This window comes from Homo sapiens, chromosome 1 (assembly GCF_000001405.40).
Source record: "Homo sapiens chromosome 1, GRCh38.p14 Primary Assembly".
Lineage (NCBI taxonomy): Eukaryota > Metazoa > Chordata > Mammalia > Primates > Hominidae > Homo > Homo sapiens.
This window is the reverse complement of record NC_000001.11, coordinates 61,974,931-61,989,514: the sequence shown is the minus strand read 5'-3', so window position 1 is coordinate 61,989,514 and position 14,584 is coordinate 61,974,931. Positions and strand designations below refer to the sequence as shown.

General features: G+C 39.7%; 1 protein-coding gene and 1 long non-coding RNA gene across 24 annotated transcripts in view; one reads left to right on the top strand and one right to left on the bottom strand.

Annotated features, from left to right (window-relative positions):
• LOC107984965 (uncharacterized) overlaps positions 1–3,849 on the top strand; it is a 45,543-nt gene extending 41,694 nt beyond the window's left edge. The window contains exon 3 of the long non-coding RNA XR_001738097.2: positions 3,683–3,849. This is a non-coding gene — a long non-coding RNA (uncharacterized LOC107984965). The remainder of the gene's footprint in view (positions 1–3,682) is intronic.
• Positions 1–14,584, bottom strand: part of PATJ (PATJ crumbs cell polarity complex component) — a 421,436-nt gene that overhangs the window by 174,401 nt on the left and 232,451 nt on the right. The window lies entirely within an intron of this gene.

Sequence of the window (14,584 nt, the reverse complement as noted above, 5' to 3'; positions counted from 1 at the left end):
AATTCTAAATAATTACATTAATATATATTAATACAAAGGGTACCAAATAACACTGGGTTATGGGAGCAAAAGCAAGGGGAATTAAGGGTGTTGGTTTAGCTCTCATATTTGAATTCATTCCACAAATCTACCATTTACTCAATATCTAACAATGAATACATTGGTTTATCTCTATGAGGTTCCACTTTTTCATCTGTAAATTGTTACTATCCATTTCATGGATGTTGAGAAAATTAAACAACATACATGTTGAAGGGCTTAGCGGCTCATAGTTTATAGGTGTTCTATACTTCTCTTATTCCATCTTCTGTCTCACTTTGCTACCTCTATGTTAGGGTCAAAAGGACCTGTTTTAGGAGATGGCTGGCTGTGTCTCACTTGTGTTGGTTCTGTGCAGCAAAACCACACTGACAAATCAGTGTGAGGATGGTACTGCTTTAAGCATGTGCTGTGCCCCGCAGAACACAAGATCAGGCCAGGTGTGCCACCACACTCAAAGGCTTCATGCCTACTACCATGGCTGGAAGCAATCATCTCATCAGCTTTTAAATAACAAATTCGTAGATTGTGACCCTCTTGGAACCCTAAATGCTCATTCTAATGCTTCACTTATATTACATTTGCTGTCCTTAGGAGGGAACCTTGCAAATTAAAAGCTCAAGTCAAATCATTTGTCTTAAGGTAGAGTGGGGAAGAAGACAGCCCAGTCCACTCTATCACTTTACCAGACTTAACAAACACTGCTTTATAAGTGAGTAGGTAAATTTAAACTTGTAAAAATGACTTTATGCATAAATTTATAATAAAAGAATAAAGCACAAGGGGGGGCTTATTTTAGAATGAAAATAAATCGGCTTTACAAGAATTTTGAAGAGAATCTTAAAGAACACTCACTGAACAAAGCTTGTTACTAATAATAATGAACACATTTAGCAAAATACAGTAAAATGAAGGACTTGCAAGATCACAAAACTGTTAACTATATAGGAAAAGAGTTAAGTCATATTAACATTGAAGTGAATAAATACAAGGCATTTTTGCTGGTCGGCAACCAAGAACAAGATGCTGTGTGGGTACTTGAATGAATAGAGACATGTAAGACATGCATTACAGTAAAGATGCTCACACAGCATAACAGGAGAAATAAAGTTAACACAACAAATATTCAACAACTACAATTATTTTTGAAATTCCCAACCATTACGACTGCTGGTCACTGAATAAATACTAACTTATTAGTTAATTAGATCAGTGAATAAATACTAAATTAATTGTGCTACCAATAATTGCTTTTATTTTATTTTATTTTATTTTTTGAGATGAAGTCTTGCTCTATCACCCAGGCTGGAGTGCAGTGGTGCGATCTTGGGTCAGGGCAACCTCCACCTCCCAGGTTCAAGCGATTCTTGTGCCTCAGCCTCCTGAGTAGCTGGGATCACAGGAGTGCGCCACCATACCCAGCTAATTTTTTAATTTTTAGTAGAGACAGGGTTTCGCCATGCAGCCCAGGCTGGTCTCAAACTCCTGATTTCAGGTGATCCGCCCGCCTTGGCCTCTTATAGTGCTGGGATTACAGGTGTGAGCCACCATGTCTGGCCCCAGTAATTGCTTTTAGAATTCCAAGAATGGATATGGCTAGAAAAGATGTTTTGGAATTAGCAAAATTTAAGCAGAGTCTTGAGTAAGGTATGGAATTTGATTATGTGAAGAAGAATCTTGGTGGGTGAAATGGCAAGAGGAAAACGCAGTTGGGATGGGGAGGAGAACATGGGTAGCTGTTGGCTGCAAACTGGAAATTCTTTGGACTAGTGAGTGGGTGATCAGAAATAAGACTGAAAGGTTAATTGATAGGCTGTTTACAGCAATAATATTCCATTTTAGGGGTTCTGCAGAGGTGCCATAGAGTCCCCCAGGGATGGGGGGTTGAGAGGAGGCTCCATTTAAGACCTTTTCTCCCGGATTCAACCAGAGCACTTATGCTCTCATCTGCTTTGTTTATTGGACTTATAGGGTAAGATGGTTAAGAAATGATATCGCAGCTAAGAAAACAACATGAAACACCAATTTTAACACACCTCTCTCAGAAAGTAATAAGGCATCTTTTTTTTAAAAAAAAAGATGTTGATAACTTTAACAAGACAATACACTCAAAATAGTAGATATAAGATAACTCTACAACTGACAGACACAAAATGCACATTTTTTGCAACTCACACACAGAACAAGTACAGAAACAGACTGCATATTGGGCCATAAAAGAAACTTCAATAGCTCTCAAAGACTCAATATTACACAGGCTGTGTTCTTGAAATATAGTGCAATAAAACAAAAAAATTATAAATTAACAATAAAAAGAGAACTTTAAAAACCTCAGGTGTTTAGAAATAAATTAATATTAGCAAAAAACCCAAGATCTTAAACAGAAAATTAAGAAACACAGTATTCACAATTGAATAAAAATTATAATTCTAGATGTCAAACTTGAGAGACACAGCTAAAGAAGAACTTAGAAGGCAATTTTATAATTTTGAAGAATTTACCAGAGAACAAGAAAAGTTAAAAAAAAAGTATTATAACTAAGAAATTGGAAAAATACATAGCAAATGCAAAGAAATAAGAAGACAGAAAATAGCAAAGATAAGGGCATCTACTAATGAATGAATATGGAACTATCACCAACAAACAAAACAAAATAAAAATGCATTCTGAAGTTCAGTGAAATTAAAACCTACTTCTTAGAAAACATTAATAAGATAGGCTCTTTAAAAACTTAACGAGAAAAAATAGGTGATGAAAATAAATTACAAAGCTGGATACAGTGGCTCATGTTTATAATCCCAGCATTTTGGGAGGACTGCTTGAGCCCAGGAGTTTGAGACAAGCCTGGGCAACATAGCGAGACCCCGTTTGTACAAAAAATTTAAAAAGTTAGCCCAGCATAGCGGCACGCGCCTATAATTTTGGCTGCTCTGGAGGTTGAGGCGGGAGGATCATTAAGTCCAGGAGTTCAAGGTTACAATGAGCCATGACTGTACTACTGCACTTTAGCCTGGGCTACAGAGGAAGACCCCCATCTCTAAAAGTAAATAAATAAAAATAAATTACAGAACTAAAAGAGAAAAATAACTGCAGACAGGTTTTTTAAATAAAATTATGGACCGTACATCAACACAAACTATAAGTTGGTACATTTTAAAATCTATATGATGTAGACACATTTCTCAAAAAAATTAAAACACAATATTTAGTGCAAGAATAAATGTAAAACTGTAATGAACTACTAGCTATTAAAGACACTGAAATGAGGCTGGGCACGGTGTTTCATGCCTGTGATCCCAGCACTTTGGGAGGCTGAAGCATCACACATTCTTGTGGCAGAATAGGAAGGGTAAGGGTTAGGGTCACAATTAAGTCCAAACACAAGCTGAGGCACTTAACATCTCTGATTCCTTGGACCAATTACTAAACCTCTATGAACCCAGATTTCTTATGTAAAATGGGGTTGTTACCTTAAAAGTGGATGTTGCCTAAAAATGCCTGGGAGATAGGAGTCCAAATAATGTTAGGGGAAACAAAATCTCATGATTTTTGTTTCCATGATATAGTTATGTCGAGTTTTAAAGTTAGTCTTAAGTTGGTGACCAAGCTGCTCTTTTCTACTTAACTTTTTGTTTGTTTTAAGAAAAATGGAGACTTAAGGAAGAAAGAAGTTTTCCCCATGATGGCATGAAGAAAAGCCACACAGTCCTCTGGCGGGAACCATTAGAGGAAGGGACTAACATTGTTCTCCCCTGAGTCTCTTCTTTGAGGCAGGGAGAAGACCCTGGAACATCTGCAGGTGCAGAGAAATGCCACCACTGGATCAAGTGTTTGTCCTGTGATATGGAGACCACTCAAACAGCTTTACAATTGTGTGCTAGTCAAGTGTAGAATCAAAACCCTTTCTGTAGTTTCTGTTTGAGAAAATAAAAAAGTTCTGGAGATGGATGGTTGTACAATGTGAATGTATTTAACACTGAACAATACAATTAAAGACGGTAAAATAGTAAATGTTGTTATGTATATTTTACCACAATTTAAAAAAGACCCCTATCAGTGGCTTAAAATACCCTCAAAAAATTGGTTCCCTTATCAATATCCCACTGAGGGACTAAGTTATAGATTTATTATTCTGACTTTTGAAACCAGCAGCTTCTTTTTTTTTGAGTCAGAGTCTTGCTCTGTCGCCAGGCTGGAGTACAGTGGCACGATCTCGGTTCACTGCAACCTCCACCTTCCGGGTTCAAGCGATTCCCCTGCCTCAGCCTCCCAAGTAGCTGGGACTATAGGCATGCGCCACCGCGCCCAGCTAACTTTTGTAGTTTTAGTAGAGATGGGATTTCACTACATTGGCCAAGATGGTCTTGATCTCTTGACCTTGTGATCCGCCCACAACGGCCTCCCAAAGTGCTGGGATTATTAGGCGTGAGCCACCATGCCTGGCCAAAACCAGCAGCTATATTTTTCTAGTCAATGCTTTTTTGTGACCCTACTATAATCCTGCTTATTCAATGAATTACTATGAATTGAATCCAAATTCATGCCAGGCTTGTGATACAAAGGGAATATAATACTGAATTTGTTTTCAAGGACCTCAAAATCTATCACTGGAGACAAGCACGCATATGACTAGTTATAATTCAGAGAGATAAGAGCATTGAGAAAAATACCAGTAGCTGAAGTTACCCACTTATTTCAGTGTGTTGTCAGGAAAAACAACTAATATCTGCAAATATACTGAATAGTATAGATGTTCTAGCTAATTCTCAACCCACTGGTCAGCTACACTTTCTACTGTATCATGCCAAGGACTCGTTTTGGTTGACATTTCCAATAATCCTGCATCTATCTTGTTCTGACTTTATTTGCCTAAATGCTAACAGATGAGTTATTCAGCTTTCCTTAATTTCTTTTTATTGTTTTCTGTTTTGTGGGAGAATGAAATAAGCTCAACAGAATAAAGCTCAGCAAAAAAATCCCAACCCTGAAACATTAAAGAATTGGGTATACTTAAGGCCGAGCACAGGGGCTCATGCCTGTAATCCCAGCACTTTGGGAGGCTGAGGTGGGCAGATCACTAGCCAGGTCAGGGGTTCGAGACCAGCCTGGCCAGTATAGTGAAACCCTGTCTCTATTAAAAATACAAAAATTAGATGGCATGGTGACACATGCCTGTAATCCCAGCTAATCGGGAGGCTAAGGCATGAGAATCACTTGAACCCAGGAGGGGGAGGTTGCAGTGAGCAGAGATGGCACCTCTGCACTCCAGCCTGGGTGACAGAGCAACACTCTGCCTCAAAAAAAAAAAAAATAATAATAATAATAATTGAGCGTATTTCATAGTTATACAATTTTATTAATAATTTTGGGGGGCCAGGTGCATCATCCCAGCATTTTGGAAGGCAGAAAGATTGCTTAAGGGCAGGAATTCAAGACTAGCCTGGGCAATATAGCAAGACTCCATCTCTACAAAAAATTAAAACATCAGCCAGGCATGAGGGTGGACACCTGTAGTCCCAGCTACTTGGGAGGCTGAGGTGGGATGACTGCTTGAGCCCAGGAGGTTGAGGCTGCACTGAGCCACAGTCACGCCACTGCACTCCAGCCTGGGTGACAGAGCAAGACCCTGTCTCTAGTTTTGTCCATCTGTCTTCATGGTCCTAGCTGAAAAGTATCTTTTTAGATTCCTTATTTCCTTCGACTTCCCTCCCCTAGAATATAAACTCCATGAGCTCCTTGTCCACCCAACTCTCTGCAGTCTTCTGTACCCACAACAGTGTCTGGCATATATTAGATAGTCCATCTAAAACTACTGAAAACAGAAATGAGTGATTTTGAAGATCCTCTTCAATTGCTAGGACACACTGTTCTGACATTGCTCCAAACAATGCTACATAAAAGTGATTGGAAATCTAAAAGCTTTAGACAGATACAATTTTTTTCTCAAAGATAATTATCCCTTCAGTTAAAAGAAGTAAAAGTTTCCTCTTTAGAGCTGTATTCAAAATTAAAATCCATTAGTAGTACTAGAAAAACAAATTACTACGTGCACATTATCTTTTAAAACCCACTTTATCAAGCTGAAGAAACTTGATAAGCAAAAAGATTTATAGGTAATCATTTTTTTCAGTGCCTCATAAAACAGAAAGCATAATAATAAGAGAATAAAAGTGCCAAATACTCTGTAACACATATACTTCCATTGAATTTTTATTAACATTTTCAGGCCTCAGAATTTGGGTTATCCTATGACTTTTATTTAGACTCATAGTTAGATGGAGTTTAAAAGATGACAGGTCCAGCCCTTCAGATACATTAATTGCTATGTTTTCACCATATCATGAAATCAGAGACTTTTAATTCAGGCAAAAGGAACTAAGAAATCATGGACCTTCTCTTACAGTCACCCCTCCTTAATTTCAGACTCCATTTGATAAAGAAATAAGACCACAGAATGAAAATCTCATATAAGGTTATGAAGCTAATTTATGGGTAGAAACTATAGACTAAAGAGGTAAAGAGTATTCTTTTATTAGGTTGGTACAAAAGTAATTGTGATTTTTGCCAGTAAAAGTAATGAAAAAAACCATAATGACTTTTGCACCAACCTAATACTTGAAGCCAATGAAGTTCTCCCTTAAAATTAAGAAACAGAAAAAACAAAGAACCCATCCTTTGTTGCCACACAAAAATACACACCACACACACATAAATTATGTCAGTACTAGCTTTTGGCAACTAAATATGAAAAGTGTTAAAAAGTCTTCTAGCATATAGTTCAATTTTTTTTCTCTAACAAATCATGTATAAAATTCTCCAATATCATTTTAAAGGAAAGATAAAATGACTTTGAATTTCTCCCTCAGTTTTAAGAAGCTATCGTCAGAATCCTCACATGGTCACAATACCTCCTTATATGAAAGAAACATTTCACAGTTCACTGTGTCATCGATTCTTCCCCACACCTTCGTAAATGCCTCCATTTGCAGATGAACTGACTGATACTCAGAGAACTGAGGTGACCTGGCCAATGTCAGGGTCAGTTCTGCTGAATCCAAGTGCTGTGACCTGTTCATCACACCACAGCCATCTCTTCAACTGGTAGACATTTTAGGTAATAAGATCCCTTCAGAGATGAAACAATGGTTCCCAGGCCTATCTCCTTAGATTATTTGTCAGGCTTAGATTTATTGTTATTGTCAGGATTCAGAACACAATACCCTAAAATGTAGCACCTTAGCAGACTGAGTATTTTACACTGAAGGAAACTGAGAAAACCACAGAAGCAGGATTATGTGTTCTGACCTTCTCTTACCCCCTTCTCCTGAAGTGGCCACAGAAACTAGAAAGCCCCCTGCCCCCACTTCCCAGAAGCAGGCCACAAAACCTAAGAAGGTCACTCTCTGACCTCCCTCCCTTCTCCCCTGCAGATGTGTATGTGACAGGTGTCCTGCCCTATACTCAGAGGAAGGGAATAGCATACAGAGATGCACAAGAATCGCAACAAGGCTGAGTGCGGTGGCTCACGCCTGATACCCCAGCACTTTGGGAGGCCAAGGCGGGTGGATCACCTGAGGAGGAGTTTGAGACCAGCCTGGCCAACATGGTGAAACCCTGTCTCTACTAAAAATCCAAAATTAGCTGGATGTGGTGGCACATGCCTGTAATCCCAGCTACTCGGGAGGCTGAGGCAGGAGAATCGCTTGAATCTGGGAGGCGGAGCTTGCACTAAGCCGAGATTGTGTCACTGCACTCCAACCTGGGCGACAGAGTGAGACTCCGTCTCCAAAAAAAAAAAAAAAGAATCACAACAAATAGGCTTTCCTGAGTTTCCCCCAATTTCATACCACTAGATCATACCCTTTTGTCCTCCAGTCATACTTCTGCAGGACTGTCCATAAAAACACAGTTTTCCCTGGGTCTTTGGGTCTTTCTTTCTGAAGGCTCCTGTGTTGTATAAAATTTTGGATAAACAAATTTGTTATGCTTTTCTCTTGTTAATCTTTTTGTTATAAGGGTCTCAGCCATGAACCTTGCAATGGGTGAGGAAAAAATAATACTTTCTCCCCCTTACTACCTAAAATATCACCCTTGGTGCTTATAAAACAGAACCATGACTGGGACCCACTAGCTGAGATTCTGAGCCAGGTTTTCTGGGGTAAGGTTTAGGAATCTTTGTAACAAGGTGCTCAGGTGCTTCTCATGGGCCACTAGGTTCGTAAACTACAGATTAATCTCTCATGCAGTGCACTCATTTCTTTCCAGGAAAAACATGTTGATGATGACAGTCAACAAAAGTTCACAGAGACCAAATTTAAGGCAGCCTTCACAAGACTAATCTAACATGGACACTATCTCTGTCTCCACAGTCAGGCTTCGGGATTAAATAAAAGGTCTATTTTGATTGCATAATAGATTTCCCTTCCTCTCAGCCTCCTAGGCTGCCTCCCTCCATCCAAAATCTCTGGGGTTTCCTGTAATCTCTGTGACAATTGCTTCTCTTTAGTAAGTACAACAAAAGCTGAACCTAGAATTTCAAGGGGAGAGGGAAAAATGATTTGGTTTTTGAAACTGACTTGGTTTTTCATTTTTAAAAAATCAAGACACTGCAATGCCAGTTTAGTTTTTAATTCAAAACTTAAGAGAGAAATGGTAGCACTCCTCCTGTGCATGGCTGAGTCAGCACAAACTGTTGCGCAGTATCAGACATGTGGCTCCACTGCGGGGAACCCCGCATGGCCTGGCATTTGCTCTAAGGGCTGCTGGGAGTCGTTGCCACAGCAACCAATGGGGTGAGAAAAGGATAAGTGGAAAGAAAATGTATAGAGAATGGTTTTCTTAAAATTTACTAATTTCAATTTCACTGAAAATACATGATTTTAAAGAGGTGGAGTAAAGAGTATTCTTTTACTTGAAGCCAGTGAAGTTCTCTCTTAAAATTAAGAAACAAAAACACCAAAGAACCCATACTTTGTTTACTATATGAAAATGCATACCACACACACACACACACACACACACACACACACACACACACAAATTATATAAGTACTAGCTTTTGGCAACAAAATATCAAAAGTGTTATAATGATCTAGAATCTTCCACATCTGGTATTTCTGGGAAATATTTGTAAAAACAACAACCATCTTTATATAGACTTTTGCTGATTTTATTTATTTTTTATTTTTTTTGACACAGGGTCTCATTCTGTTGACCAGGCTAGAGTTCAGCGGCATAATCATGGCTCACTGCAGCCCCAACCTCCTGGGCTCAAGCAATCCTCCAGCTTCAGCCTCCTGAATAGCTGGGACTACAGGCATGTGCCTCTATGCTCAGCTGTTTTCAATGACTTTTGATGGGATTCAGTACACCCTACATAACAATATGGCATCTTCGCATTTGAGAAAACAGCAGAGGCAGGAAGGTAACTCTCACTCCTCCTACCCCTTCTCCCCTGAAGCAGGTCATAAAACCTAAAAAGGATTTCTCTGATCTTCCCCTGAAGCAGGTGATAAGACCTTCATTACAGAGGTGCCCTGCCTATACCCAGAGGAAGGGAGCATCCTTATCTCTGAAGACACAGGGACACAGAGAAGAATCTAAGCAGCAGACGTTAGTAAGTTCCTCCTAGTTCGTTACCATTAGATCATGCCTCGTTTGTCCAATCTTACCACTCCATGGCTATTTACTTCTTTGGTTTAAACCTAGCATAAAAACCACACAGGTTTGTTTCCTTGGGACTTCATTTCCTTATGAAGGCTCCTGTGTATATTAAATAAATGTGTATGCTCTTCTTTTGCTAATCTTTTTTTTTTTTTTCTTTTGAGACGGAGTCTCCCTCTGTCGCCAGGCTGGAGTGCAGTGGTGTGATCTTGGCTCACTGCAATCTCCGCCTCCCGAGTTCAAGCCACTATCCTGCCTCAGCCTCCTGACTAGCTGGGATTACAGGTACACGCCACCACATCCAGCTAATTTTTGTATTTTTAGTAGAGACAGAGTTTTACCATGTTGGCCGGGATGGTCTCAATCTCCTGACCTCGTGATCTGCCCACCTTGGCCTCCCAAAGTGCTGGGATTACAGGCCTGAACCACCGCGCCTGGCCTAATCTGTCTTTTGTTGTTATAAAGGCCTCAGCCATTAACCTAAGATGGGAAGGAAAGATATTTCTCTTCCCCTCCACTTACACAGTGTGTCAGTCAAGTGGCTGTAGTTCTTTTTTCAAATAACCTAGATGCCCTCCCATTTCTAAATAAAAATCAGAGATGAGTAGATAAGTAAACTACTTCTTTTGGCACCAGGCTTTATTCCAGTATCCCTGAATGAACATCAGACTAGAATAATTGGAGAGAGAACAGTCTCTTGATGCAGCTGAACACTCATGCTTGTTTTAAACATGGATTGTCTAGCCCCAGGACAATGTTATCTGAAGAAAGGAATCCCAAGTTGCTCATAATTCTCTATCAAAGCATCAATGCCTTTTTCTTGTTCAAGAAAGTCAATAACATTTCTCCATTGTCACAGTATGTTTTCCTATCATCATAGGATATTAGGTGTTGCTAAGTAACAGAGCCTTTCTCCCAAGAAAGAAACTTAATTCAAGTCACTGCCCAGTATTTTAATAGCAAATGTTCAACACACTGGAATAATGACTCAATACAATTTCAGAAACATTTAGTTATCTGGTCTGTTTCCAAATAACAAAGAATAATATAATACAGAGAAAACATTTAAAAACACTCTTCTATACATCAAATATAACAATTCCACTTAAAAAAAATCAGGTATAATAAACATCTCAATCTAATTTTTCTTATGCACTAACCAACTTCTAATTCTCTGAGTTAGTACTTTTAGATTTAAGAGGTAAAAATATATAAAAGAAACTGTAACTTATCAGAAGAAACAGCACAGGCTGGGCGCAGTGGCTCATGCCTGTAATCCCAGCACTTTGGGAGGCCGAGGCGGGCAGATCACCTGAGGTTGGGAGTTCGAGACCAGCCTGACCAACACGGAGCAACCCCCTCTCTACTAAAAATACAAAATTAGCTGGGCATGGTAGCACATGCCTTTAATCCCAGCTACTCGGAAGGCTGAGGCAGAAGAATCGCTTGAACCTAGGAGACAGAGGTTGCAGTGAGCCAAGATCGCACCATTGCACTCCAGCCTAGGCAACAAGAGCGAAAAACTCTGTCAAAAAAAAGAAAGAAGAAAGAATAAAGGAAGGAAGGAGGGAGGGAGGGAGGGAGGGAGGAAGGAAGGAAGGAAGGAAGGAAGGAAGATATGAAGATGAAAGTCCAAACAAGTAGAGAAAATGTCTCTTCCTGTAAGAGATGAACAACATCAACCATAAACAAATAGAGAAAATAAGAAAATGATGACTTTCAGAGAAGAGAGAAGAAATAGTCAATCAGAGGAGGCACAAAGTGACTTCTGGGTATTAGTAATGTTTTATTTCATTACCTGGATGGTGGTTACATGGGAATATGTTCTTTGTGAAAATACAGCAAACTATAGTATAGTTTTCTGTTTGTATGTATTTCAATCAACTTATTTTTATTAAAAAAATTTTTTTAAGTTTTTTTTTTTTTTTGAGTCTTACTATGTTGCCCAGGCTAGAGTACAGTGGCTATTCACAGAGGCCCCATCATAGTGTACTAAGCCTCAAACTCCTGGCCGCAGGGATCCTCCTGCCTCAGCCTCCTGCATAGCTGTGGGACTACAGGTGTTCACCACAGCACCCAGCTAATAAATTTCTTTTTTAAAAAGAGATGTAAAATACTGTAATGCCAGCCGGCACAGTGGATCATACCTGTAATCAGTGTTGTGGTTGAATCTGGGAGAAAAAGTCTTAAATGGAGCCCCCCACTCAACCCCTCATCCCTGGGGGGACTCTAGGACGCGTCTACAAAACACCTAAATTGGAATATCATTGCTGTAAACAACCTATCAATTAACCTTTTTAATCTTCTTTTTAAAATTCTACTATTATTTCCTTTTTCTTACACTGGGAAAGATGAATTAACCTTTTAAACCTTCCACCTTATTTCTTATCACCTACCCACTAATCCAAAAAATTTCCAGTTTGGGCTGGGCACAGTGGCTCACGCCTGTAATCCCAGTACTTTGGGAGGCTGAGGTGGGCCAATTACTTGAGGCTAGGAGTTCGAGATCAGCCTGGCCAACATGGCAAAGCCCCATCTCTACTACAAATACAAAAAAATTAGCTGGGTGTGGTGGCACACGCCTGTAATCCCAGCTCCGCGGGTGGCTGAGGTTGGAGAATCCCTTGAGCCTGGGAGGTGGAGGATATAGTAAGCCATGATCACGCCACTACACTCCAGCCCGAGCAACAGAGTGAGACCCCATCTCTAAAAAAACAAGCAAACAAACAAAAAATACTATCATGTGAGGACCTTGTTTGAATCTGATTTGAACAAGCCAATTGTAAGAATATTTTTTGAGACAATAAATTTAATTACAGACTATATATTAGAAAAACCAAAAAATTATGATGTTAGGAAAATTAATGGTATTATAGTTATATGTTTAAGAGATGCATGTGTATGAATAAAATGACATAATGTCTGGGGATAATTTGAAAATATTTCAGTAAAGAAAAATAAAAGAAAATATAAGGAATAGGTGAAACGAGTATAGTAAAATCTTGGTAATTACTGAACCTGGGAGAACATATGGGAGAATTTGCTGACTATTCTCTTTATGTTGGTAAATGTTTGAAAATTTTCACAACTAAAAAAACAAAACAAGTCCGGGCACACTGGCGCATGCCTGTAATCCCAGCACTTTGGGAGGCTGAGGTGGGTGGATTACCTGAGGTCAGAAGCTCGAGACCAGCCTGGCCAAGATGGAGACACCCCATGTCTACTAAAAATATAAAAATTAGCCAGGCATGATGGGTGGGTGCCTGTAATCCCATCTACTTGGGAGGCTGAGGCAGGAGAATCACTTAAAACCAAGAGGCAGAGGTTGCAGTGAGCCGAGATTGTGCCATTGCACTCCAGCCTGGGCAACAAGAGCAAGACTCCATCTCAATAAAACAAACAAACAAACAAAAAAACCCCTCACAACAATGCTATAAGTATAACCATCCCATCTTACAGATAATGAAGCTGAGGCCAGTGGAGGTTATGGAACTTGCCTAAACTCAAAGTAAGTAATTGGTAAGATTTGGGTTTCAGGTTTGGGTCTGTCTCACTTCAAATCCTGTGTGTTTACCCATCAACACAAAGAAAATAAAGAAGCACGTTATGTTCACTTCTGCTAGAGTAGCAGAAGGAAAGCCTAAAACCTTCCTCAGCCCTTTTGGAATCGACAATTTAAGGCGAGACATGGAACACGTATAGGCAATCCCCAGAGCTGAGCCTTAGGAAGCATGGCTGCAGCACACACAGGATGACTTGAAGAGGGGACAAAGAGACAGGAAGACCAAGCATGACTATAAAAGTAGACTGGTGGAGAAAAAATTAGAGGCAAAATTAGCATGTGGTAATAGAAAATAATTTGAAAGCCAACAGGCTTTTGAACTGTTTAGAAGTCCAAAGTAAAGGAAGCTGAAGGCTAACAAGGAAGCTGTTATCTGATCCTTAGAGGCATGGAGTGAAACACAAGCAGGTGAGAATTTACTTTGGGCTGATGTATGGTATCCACAGACAGCTGCAGCCGAATGTGGCTTGGAGCTCAGGAATGAAGGAGACGATAAGCCTGAAACTCCTGCTAGGACCAAGTGGACAGAGGTTCTAAACACCTGGACGAGGCAGAGATACTGAAATGCTTTGAACAGTGTTTGGAGATGAATTACCACTCGACAGTGGGAAGGAGGGCTGACAGGCCAAGAATAGGAAAGCTGACCATTTAGGAGGATATTACCATGTATCCAGCAATTATAGGAATGGATGTACACCGGATTAAGGGCATCAACTGGAAGAGATTAAAAAGAACTCAAAGAGCTGGAGAAAAAAGGAATAGCTGACTTTACTCCATTTATCTATTAAAAAAAAATTCTGAATACTGGCTCTGGGCTAGGCACTATGCTATTTGCTAGAGATATAAGGGTGAAAACAAAGGAAGTAAAGATTGAATTAGGTACTATCAAAAGCATAAAGAGTTCCAAATATGATTTGAGATCTTTCAATCACATAACAGGAGACAAAGAAGGATTCAACTTTGGCAATCAGTACCTAAACTCTTAAGAATCACACTTAATTTGGGTCTGGGCATGGTGGCTCATGCCTGTAATTCCAGCACTTTGGAAGGCTGAGGCAGGAAGAATGCTTGAGCCCAGGAGATCGAGACCAGCTGGGAAACATAGTGAGACCCCCATCTTTACAAAAAATAAAAGAACATTAGCCAGGTGTGGTGGCTCATGCCTATAGTCCCAGCTACTCAGGAGGCTGAAGTGGGAGGATTGCCTGAACCCAAGAGGTCAAGGTCACAGAAAGCCAAGATTATGCCACTGCACTCCAGCCTGGGCAACAGAATGAAACTCTGTCAAAAACAAAACAAAACAAAACAAAACAAAAAAAC